Below are 11,904 nucleotides of genomic sequence, written 5' to 3' on the forward strand. Positions count from 1 at the left end.
ACAGTTCGAATTAGATCTAAAACCTTTCCTAATTACACCAGTTAAATCATGAAATCATGCAATAGTAGAACAGGTGTCTTACCTACCTGCATTATCCTGTAAATATTGACATGTTATTCTACATAATCATAAACTGACCGATCACACATATCTTTAAATCTAATCATCATAACTAAAAACTGTATTTGAATAAAATTAGTGTATTTCTAAATCTGTCTTTAACAGACACAAAGATGTAAATTTGAAATGTCTTGGTAAATGAGGTTAACACAATATAAATATTTTTGACGAATTCATCATAATTTGTTCATTTTAAGGAGATTGATTTTATTTTCTTGAAGCTTAAGGAGGACTTTGACATTTTAAATGTATCTAAAATTTAAATTTTATTAAATTTTACATTTCACATTTCTTTTTTTTATTGATTGAAACAAGCATTTCACATTTCATATTTCTTTTTTTTATTGATTGAAACAAGCATTCCATAGTCATTTCAAATAGTGTACAAAGTATTTTAAAATGTTTTTCTGGCCGGATGCAGTGGCTCACGCCTGTAATCCCAGCACTTTGGGAGGCCGAAGCGGGTGGATCACCAGGTCAGGAGATCGAGACTATCCTGGCCAACATGATGAAACCCTGTTTCTACTAAAAATACAAAAATTAGTCAAACGTGGTGGTACGTGCCTGTAGTCCTAGCTACTCAGAAAGCTGAGGCAGGAGAAGCGCTTGAACCTGGGAGGCGGAGGTTGCAGTTTTTCTTCAAAGACCTATCTGATTTCCATATGCAGGATAACACATTCAAACTCTTATTTGTTGTTAATGTAAGCTTTAATTCATATAGTTGTTTTTTTTTTCTTTGAGGAGTCTCTATCGCCCATACTGGAGTGCAGTGGCACAATCTCACTGCAACCTCCGCCTCCCAGGTTCAAGTAATTCTCATGCTTTAGCTTCCCAAGTAGCTGGGATTACAGGTGCATGCCAACATGCCTGGCTAATTTTTGTATTTTTAGTAGATACAGGGATTCACCATGTTGGCCAGGCTCGTCTCGAACTCCTGACCTTTGGTCATCCACCTGCCTCAGCCTCCCAAAGTGTTGGGATTACGGGGTGAGCCACTACGCCAGGCCTGCTTTTAATTTTGTGAATGGTCTTGATAACATTTCATTGTTCATTGATTAAATTCATTGTTGTGATGTTTTAAGCTTGGTGACTTAATGTTGTTGATGAACAATGCAACTAGTTGCCAAAAGCCTGATATTACACTTTACTACCCAACTACAGCTGATGCTCAAATAATGACATTGGGATATGATTTTAAAATTTATTTTCCTGAAATAATGTGTGTGTCAAATCTTAACACCCCATTGTATTCCTTGTCAGTAACTTTGAAGACAACAACAACAAAAAACCTCCTTATCTTTATATCACTGTTTTGGCCTATTTGCATTGCTATAAACGAACACTTGAGGATGGATAATTTATGAAGAAAGATTTATCTGGCTCATGTTCCACAGGCTGTATAAGAAGCATGGTGCCCACATCTACATCTAGTGAGAGCCTCAAACTGCTTTCACTCATGGTGCAAGGGAAAGGGGAGCAACTTGTGCAGAGATCACATGGCAAAAGACGCAAGAGAGAGTAGAGAGGGAGGCTCTTTTTAAATATCAGCTCTCAAGGTGTATTAGTCCATTTTTACACTGCTAATAGAGACATACTGGAGACTGGGTAATTTGTAAAGGAAAGCAGTTTAGTTGACTCACAGTTCTCCATGGCTGGGGAGGCCACACAAAATTTACAATCATGGTGGAAGAGGGAGCAAACATGTTCTTCTTCACATGGCAGCAGCAAGGAGAAGTGCTGAGCAAAAGGGGGAAAAACCCCATATAAAACTATCAGACCTCATGAGAACTCAATCGCTATAACAAGAACAGCATGAGGGTTAACTGCCCCATGATTAAATTATCTCCCACTGGGTCCCTCCCACAACATGGGGATTATGGGAACTACAATTCACGATGAGATTTGAGTTGGGCACAGCCAAACCATATCACGAAAGCACTAAGAGTGCGAAGTCACCATCCCCCAGAGAGGGCATTAATATATTCACGAGGGATCCACCTTAAACCTCAGGACCCAAATATTTCCCATCAGGCCCCACCTCTAACATTAGGGATCAAATTTCAATATGCAGTTTGGGGGACGAACGTCCAAAGTATAGCAATCAGCCTTTTAAAACTTACCCTTTTCATTTTGAGATAATTGCAGATTTACCTGCAGTTGTAAGAAGTAGTATAGGGGCTGAGTGTGGTGGCTTATGCTTATAAACCCAGTGCTTTGGGGGGCCAAGGTGGGAGGATCTCTTGAGCCCAGGAGTTTAAGACAGTCTGGGTCATACAGCAAGACCCTGATCTACAAAAAATTGAAAGTTAACCAGGCATGGTGGTGTGCATCTGTAATCCAGCTACTTGGGAGGCTGAGGCGGGAGGGTGGCTTGAGTCCAGGAATTTGAGGCAGCAGTGAGCTACAATCACATCACTGCACTCCAGCTTGGTTGGCAGAGTGAGACCCTGTCTCTAAAAAAAGAAAGAAAGAGAAATAGTTCAGAGATTCTTTGTGCCCTTTGCCCAGTTTCTCCAAAAGGTAAAATCTTGCAAAACTCTACAATAATATTACTATCAGGATATTGGCATTGTTACAGTCAAGATACAGAACTCTTCCATCACCATAAGAATCCCTCATGGTGCTCTTTAATAGGCACAGCAACTTTCCACCTGCTTCCACTCCTCCCATATGCCATTAGTTCTCCATTTTTATAAACTTGTCCTTTCAAGATCGCAATATAAAGGAGAACTATAGCATGTAACCTTTTGGGATTGGCATTTTTTTTTGCTCAGCATAATTCTCTGGAGATTCATCCAGTTTATTGCCTGTATCAGTAGTTTGTGTCTTTTTATTGCTGAATAATATTCCATAATATCCACAGTGTATTTAACCATTATCAGTTGAAGAACATCTGGGCTAATTATGAATAAAGTTGCTATAAAATTTGTGTCTAGGTTTTTGTGTGAACATGAGTCTTTATTTCTTTGAGACAAATGCCCAGAAGTGTAATTCCTAAGCCATATGGTAGTTGCATGCTTAATTTTTCAGAATCTGACAAACTGATTTCCAGAATGGCCATATCATTTTTTTCCCACTAGTAAACTATGAGTGATTCTTTGCATCCTCACCAGAATTTGATGTTGTCACTTCTTTGTTTTAGTAATCTTGCTAGGTATATATCAATATATCATTGTAGTTTTAATTTGCATTTCCCTAATGGCTAATGATATAGAACATCTTTTTTCATTTGCCAATTTGCAATCTTGTGTATCCTCTTCAGTAAAATCTCTTTTCATTACCATGTTTGTTTCCTTTTACTATTGAATTTTGAGAGCTCTTTATATATTCAAAATGCTAGGCCTTTGTCAGATATGTGTTTTACAGATATTTTCTCCCATTCTGTAGCTTGTCTTTTCATTCTCTTAACAGGGTCTGTCACAGAGCAAAAGTTTTTAACGGGTGAAGTTACATTTATCAACTTTTCTCTTACGAGTGATGTTTTTAGTGTTAAGACTCTTTGTCTAGCTCTAGCTCTTAAAGATTTTCTCTTTTTTTCCTAAAAGTATTATAGTTTGATATTTTACATTTAAGTCTGTGATCCATTTTTAGTTAATTGTTATATAAGGTATGAGTACTTTTTTGCCTGCTTTATTAGTCTATTCTCACACTGCTATAAAGATACTACCTGAGACTGGGTAATTTATAAAGAAAGGAGGTTTAACTGACTCACAGTTCCACATGGCTGAGGAGGCCTCAGGAAACTTACAATCATAGCAGAGGGCAAAGGGAAAGCAAGTACCTTCTTCACAAGGTGAAGACAGGCAAGAGAGAGAGAGCTCAGGGAAATTGCCAGACTTATCAAACAACCAGATCTCAGGTAAAAACACTTACTATCATGAGAACAGCATTGGAGAAACCACCCCCATGAGAAATCACTCACTATCATGAGAACAGCGTAGAGGAAACTGCCCCCATGATCCAATCACCTCCCACCAGGTCCCTCCCTCAACGTGTGGGGATTACAATTCAAGATGAGATTTGGGTGGGGACACAGACCCAGACCATATCATTCCACCCTGGCCCCTCCCAAATTTCATGTTCTTTTCATATTTCAAAACCAGTCATGCCTTCCCAACAGTTCCCCAAATTCTTAACTCATTCAATCATTAACTCAAAAGTCCAAGTCCAAACTCTCATCTGAGACAAGGCAACTCCCTTCCACCAATAAGCCTGTAAAATCAAAAGCAAGTTAGTACTTCCAAGGTACATGGGGGTACAGGTATTTGATAAATGTTCCCATTCCAAATGGGAGAAATCGTCCAAAACAAAGGGGCTACAGGCCCCATGCAAGTCCAAAATCCAAACAGGGCAGTCATTAAATCTTAAAGCTTCATGATGATCTCCTTTAACTCCATATTTCCCATCCAGGTCATGCTGATGCAAAATATAGGCTCCCGAGGCCTTTGGCAGCTCCACCTCTGTGACACTGCAGGATACAGCCCCCATGGCTGCTTTCACGGGCTGGTGTTAAGTGTCTGCAGCTATTCCGGGCACAAGGTGCAAGCTGTGGATGGCTCTATCATTCTGGGGTCTGAGGTGGCCCTCTTCTCACAGCTGCACTAGGCAGTGCACCAGTGGGGACTCTGTGTGGGGGCTCCAACCCCACATTTCCCCTCTGCATTGCCCTAGTAGAGGTTCTCCATGAGGGCTCCACCCCTGAAGCAGGCTTCTGCCTGGACATGCAGGTGTTTCCATACATCCTCTGAAATCTAGGCAGAGGCTGCCAAGATTTCAACTTGGCAGCCTCAACTCTTGTCTTCTGTGCACCCGCAAGCCCAACACCACATGGAAGCTGGCAAGGCTTGGGGCCTGCACCCTCTGAAACATGGCCCAAACTGTACCTTGCTCCCTTTTAGTCCCAGCTGGAGCTGGAGCAGCTGGGACACAGGACACTAAGTTGTAAGGCTGCACAGAGCAGCAGGGTCCTGAGCTTGGCCCACAAAACAATTTTTCCCTCCTAGGCCTCTGGGCTTGTGATGGGAGGGGCTGCCTTGAAGATCTGTGACATGGAAATGGAGACATTTGCTCCACTGTCTTGGCTATGAACATTCAGATCCTGGTGACTTATGCAAATTTCTGCAGCTGGCTTGAATTTCTCCCCACAAAATGGCTTTTTCTTTTCTACCTCATGGTCAGGCTGCAAATTTTCCAAACTTTTATGCTCTGCTTCCCTTTTAAATATAAGTTCCATTCAAATCATCTCTTTGTGAACACATATAACTGTATGCTTTCAGGAAAAGACAGATCAACTCTTGAATGCTTTGCTGCTTAGAAATTTCCTCTGTCAGATACCCTAAATCATCTCTTTCAAGTTCAAAGTTCCACAGATCTAGGACAGGAGCAAAATGTCACCAGTCTCTTTGCTAAAGCATAGCAACAGTAACATTTGCTCCAGTTCCCAACAAGTTCCTCATCTCCATCTGAGACCACTTCAGCCTGGAATTCATTGTCCATTTCACTATCAGCATTTTGGTCAAAACCATTCAACAAGTCTCTAGGAAGTTCCAAACTTTCCCTTATTTCCCTGTCTTCTTCTGAGGCCTCCAAACTATTCTAACCTCTGCCTGTTACCCAGTTCCAAAGCTGCTTCCATATTTTCAGGTTATTTTTATAGCAGTGCCCCACTCCCAGTACCAGTTCTCTGTATTAGTTCTTTCTCACACTGCTGTAAAAGTACTACCTGAGACTAGGTAATTTATAAAGAAAGGAGATTTAATTGACTCACAATTCTGCATGGCTGGGGGGACCTCAGGACACTTACAATCATGGTGGAAGGTGAAGGGGAAGCAAGGCTTGTCTTACATGGCAGCAGGTGAGAGACAGTGAGAGAGAGAGAGAACGAGAGAGAGAGAGAGCGAGTGCAGGGGAAATTGCCACACACTTATCAACCAGATCTTGAGAGAACTCTCTCACTGCCACAAGAACAGCATGGGGGAAACTGCCCATGATCCAATCACCTCCCACCAGGTCCCTTGCTTGACACATGAGGATTACAATTCAAGATGAGATTTGGGTGGGGACACGGAGCCAAATCATATCACCTGCAGATATGCAATTGCTCCAGCACCAATTAGACTTCTAACATCTTTTAATCCCTTAAAACCTTAAACAGGTGAACAGCAAAGTTTCATTATCATGTATTATCATACAGGATGCTTTCATGCATAGTAATGAAAGTTAGTTTGATTGCAGTTTATTTTTGGACACATTTTACTCTGTCATTGGTTCTTTTAAAAACATAATTATGCATAGAATAAGATATTTAACTTATATTTTTTCCATTGTTACCCTGATATGCTTTTGTGCGCTTGTAAGATGAAATGTTATCTAGTACTATGACAGACACATTTGTGTCTTAGTTTTGACTTTAATGAGGATGCTTCTAATCTACCCTTATTTAATATAAATGCTAGTTTGAGGATTGAGAAAAAATATTTTATCATATTAAGCATATATCATTTTACAGTTAAAATATATTATATATATTTTATAGTTCAAGGTTTTTATCCAGAACAAGTATTGAATTTTATCTAATGGCTTTTTAGTATCTAAGGAAATGATAATTAAGATGATACTTATCTATCAGTATCTAATATAGTAATTTATACGAACAGATTTCCTGATATTGAACCAGTCTTTTATTCCTAGAATAAACCATGTTTGGTCATGTAGTATTGATTTTGAATATAATTCTTTGCTAATATTTTCTTCAGAATTTTATAACTATTTCCTGTATATGTTTCTCTCTATAGAATCTTTTATTGGGAGAAGTAGTTCCAAAATGGAAACTCTGTTTTTTATGTTCTAAAGCAGCAGTCCCCAACGTTTTTGGCACCATGAACTGGTTTCATGGAAGACAAATTTTCTACAGACTGGAGACAGGCTGGGGGGCGGGGGGAGGGTTTCAGGATGAAACTGTTCCACCTCAGATCACCAGGCATTAGATTACCATAAGGAGCGGGCAACATTGATCCCTCACGTGCACAGTTCACACTAGGGTTTGTGCTCCTACGAGAATCTAATGCTGCCACTGATCTGAGAGCAGGCAGATCTCTGGCCTTACTGCTTGCTCACCCACCGCTCACCTCCTGCTGTGCAGCCCAGTTCCTAACAGGCCCTGATGGGTACCGGTTGGTGGCCTGGGGATTTGTGATACCTGCTCTTGAACAGTCCAAATAGCATTGGGACTACCTGTCTTTTTTGTTTGTTTGTTTTTTGTTTTTGAGACAGAGTGTTGCTCTGTCACCCAGGCTGAGGTACAGTGGCGCCATGTCGGCTCACTGCAACCTCCACCTCCAGGTTTAAGCAATTCTCCTCCCTCAGCCTCCAGAGTAGCTGGCACCACAGGCATGCCCACCACGCCTGGCTAATTTTTTTATTTTTAGTAGAGACAGAGTTTTGCCATGTTGGCCAGGCTGGTCTCGAACTCAAGTGATCTGCCTGCCTGGGTCTCCCAAAGTGCTGGGATTACAGTGAGCTACAGTGCTCCGCTGAGATTATCTGTTTTTTATAGGCTTAGAAATAGTCCCAGCTGGGCATGGTGGCTCATGACTGTAATCCCAGCACATTGGGAGGCCCAGGCAGATGGATCGCTTGAGCCCAGGAGTTTGAGACCAGTCTAGGCAACATGGCAAAACTTCATCTCTATAAAAAACACAAAAATTAGCCAGGTGTGGTGGCACACACAGCTACTCGGGAGGCTGAGGTGGGAGGATCACCTGAGCCTGGGAGGTCAGAGGCTGCAGTGAGCAGGGATGCCATGCCCCTGCACTCCAGCCTGGGTAACATACTGAGACCCTGTCTCAAAAAAGGAAAAAGAGTCCCATGTGAAACTGTCTTGACATAGTCTTTTGGGGAAGACAAGTCTTTAAAAAGTTTTAAGTAAGTTTATAGTAACTGAGCTATTTAGACCAATTTTGGGAAGTTATATTTTAATAAAATTGTTTTATTAGAACATTATATATTATATCCAGGTTTTCAAATTTAGTAGCACAGGGTTTAGTAAAGTATTATTTTATTGTTTTGTTAAGTTAATCTCTACCTGTAATTGTTTCGTTTATTATATCTCATTTATATAATTAAATTTTTTCTTTAAAAATTAGAAAAACAGGCCGGGCGCAGTGGCTTACGCCTGTACTCCCAGCACTTTGGGAGGCCGAGGCAGGCGGATCACAAGGTCAGGAGATGGAGACCATCCTGGCTAACAGGGTGAAACCCCATCTCTACTAAAAAATACAAAGAAAAAAACTAGCTGGGTGTGGTCGTGGGCGCCTGTAGTCCCAGCTACTCGGCAGGCCTGAGGTAGGAGAATGGTGTGAAACTGGGAGGCAGAGCTTGCAGTGAGCCAAGATCATGCCACTGCACTCCAGCCTGGGTGACAGAGCGAGACTCTGACCAAAAAAAAAAAAAAAAAAAATTAGAAAAACAGCAAGTTTATTGCTTTGAACACTGCCCAGCAAAGAACCAACTTTTGGACCCTTTAAAAATATTCTGACATTTGGCCGAGTGTGGTGGCTCACACCTGTAATCCCAGCACTTTGGGAGGCCAAGGTGGGTGGATCGCCTGAGGTCAGGAGTTTGAGAACAGACTGACCAAGAGGGTGAAACCCCATCGCTACTAAAAATACAAAAATTAGCTGGGCATAGTGACAGGTGCCTGTAAGCTCAGCTACTCGGAGGCTGAAGCAGGAGAATCACTTGAAGCTGGGAGGCAGAGGTTTCAGTGAGCCAAGATCGTACCACCGGACTCCAGCCTAGGCAACAGAGTAAGACTCTGTCTCAAAAAAAAAAAAAAAAAAAAAATTCTGACTTTTAAAAAAATTTTGGATTTATTCAATATCTGCCTTTTTCTTTATTAATACCATCCCTCTACTTTCCTTCTATTTATTTTTATTGCTCTTTTTCTAAATTCTAACATTGGATACTTACTTCAATTATTTTAGTTTTGTTTATTAATGTAAGAATTTAGGCCATAGAATTTCCTCTGAACACTTCCATAGTTATATCCCACAGGTTCTGATAAATTTCCATTTTATCCAAGAATTATTTAAAAATTGTGAAATCAAAATTTCCAGGTGGGAGGTAGAGGGGATCATGGCGGACGGGAGGCAGGACTAGATTGAAGTTCTGGACAGAGCAGCATGCAGAGGCTTGCATTGTGAATTTTAGCTCCAGATCAACTGCAAGAAAGAAACAGCAATCCCGAGAGGACCTACAGACCCTCGGAAGAAAGCGAACTGCTCCTGTAGGACCTGGGAGACACCCCAAATACTGTACCGCAGAAGAGGGAAAGGGAGACCCTCTTCTCCCGAACACACACCCCCACTGGAGAAGCTGAAGATCTGTTTGCAGAAGTTTCCAACTTTACCTGGAGCTGAGTCAAGTTAGAGAGCCAAGCAAAAATACAGGGGTAGAGGAAGCAGCAGAAAGGTCCCAGGAGCTTGCTGGGTCCCCAAGCAGCCCATTCCTGCCTGGCACCACAGGGAACCATAGGGAGGGTGGCCAGAGGACCAGTGAATAAAACTCCACAGGAAGAAGGAATTCTCTAGCTGAATTTTGTAACAACTTGAACAGGGTGAGAAGCCTCCTGGCCAGAACTCAGGGGAGGGCGGGAATCTGGAGCGCAGACTTCACAGGTAGGGGAAGAACTGAAGCCCTTTTCTTTCGCAGCTGGGAGACGGATAGCCTCGGGCAAGTTTTCAAGCATATCTCGTCCTCCACCTGGAAACAGACTTAGAGCTGTTGAGGGGAGCACGGCAGGAGTGAGACTGGCCCTTTGGTTTGCATGGGAGCCTGGTGAGGCCTGTGGCTACCAGCTTTCCTCCACTTCCCAGACAACCTGTGTGACTTAGCAGAGGCAGCCATAATCCTCCTAGGTACACAACTCCAATGACCTGGGAATCTCACCTCAATTCCCCACAGCAGCTTCAGCAAGACCCACCCAAGGAGAGTCTGAACTCAGACATGCCTAGGCCCACCCCCACCTGATGGTCCTTCCCTACCCACCCAGGCAGCAGAAGACAAAGGGCATATAACCTTGAGTGTTCTAGGGCTGCACCCACTGCCAGTCTCTCTCCACACTGCTACAGCTAATGCTTTCTGAAAAGCGCCACCTCCTGGCAGGAGGCCAACCAGCACAAAAATAGAGCATTAAACCACCAAAGCTAAAGACCCTCATGGAGTCCATTGCACCATCGGCCACCTCCACTGGAACAGGAGCTTGTATCCATGGCTGAGAGAACCATAGACAGTTCAAATCACAGGACTCTGTGCAGACAACCCCCTGCATCAGCCCAGAGCTGGGTAGACTCGCTGGGTGGCTAGACCCAGACAAATATCACTGCAGTTTGTCTCACAGGAAGCCACATCTATAGGAAAAAGGGGAGAGTCAAGGGAACACCCTGTGGGACAAAAGAAACTGAACAAAAGGCTTCAGCCCTAGACCTTCCCTCTGAAAGAGCCTATCCAAATGAGAAGGAACCAGAAAACCAACCCAGGTAATATGATAAAACAAGGCCCTTCAACACCCCCCACTAAAATCATACTACTTCATCAACAATGGATCCAAACCAAGAAGAAATCCCTGATTTACCTGAAAAACAATTCAGGTGGTTAGTTATTAAGCTAATCAGGGAAGGATCAGAGAAAGGCGAAGCCCAATGCAAGGAAATCCAAAAAATGATACAAGAAATGAAGGGAGAAATATTCAAGGAAATAGATAGCTTAAAGAAAAAACAATAAAAAAATTCAGGAAACTTTAGTCACACTTTTAGAAATGCAAAATGCTCTGGAAAGTCTCCGCAATAGAATTGAACAAACAGAAGAAAGAAATTCAGAGCCTGAGGACAAAGTCTTCAAATTAACCCAATCCAACAAAGAAAAAAAATAAGAAAATATGAACAAAGCCTCCAAGAAGTCTGGGGTTATGTTAAATGATGAAACCTAAGAATAATCAGTGCTCCTGAGGAAGAAGAGAATTCTAAAAGCCTGGAAAACATATTGGGGGGAATAATTGAGGAAAACTTCCCCGGCCTTGCGACAGACCTAGACATCTAAATACAAAAAGCACAAAGAACACCTGGTAAATTCATCGCAAAAGATCTTTGCCTAGGCACATTGTTATCAGGTTATCCAAAGTTAAGATGAAGGAAAGAATCTTAAGAGCTGTGAGACAGAAGATGCAGGTAACCTATAAAGGCAAACCTATCAGATTAACAGCAGATTTCTTTGCAGAAACCCTACAAGCTAGAAGGGATGGGGGACCTATCTTCAGCCTCCTCAAACATAATAATTATCAGCCAAGAATTTTGTATTCGGTGAAACTAAGCATCACATATGAAGGAAAGATACAGTCATTTTCAGACAAACAAATGCTGAGAGAATTTGCCATTACCAAGCCACCATTATAAGAACTGCTAAGAGGAGCTCTAAATCTTGAAACAAATCCTGGAAACACATCAAAACAGAACCTCGTTAAAGCATAAATCACACAGGACCTGTAAGACAAAAATACAAGTGAAAAAGCAAAAACAAAAACCGAAAAACCCCAAAGTACACCAGCAACAAAGGGCACGTTGAAAGCAATGGTACCTCACATTTCAATACTAACATTTAATGTAAATGGCCTAAATGCTCCACTTGAAAGATACAGAAACACAGAGTGGATAAGAACTCACCAACAAACTATCTGCTGCCTTCAGGAGACTCACCTAACACATAAGGACTCACATAAACTTAAAGTAA

Source organism: Homo sapiens, chromosome 3 (assembly GCF_000001405.40).
Source record: "Homo sapiens chromosome 3, GRCh38.p14 Primary Assembly".
In the NCBI taxonomy this organism is placed as follows: Eukaryota; Metazoa; Chordata; class Mammalia; order Primates; family Hominidae; genus Homo; species Homo sapiens.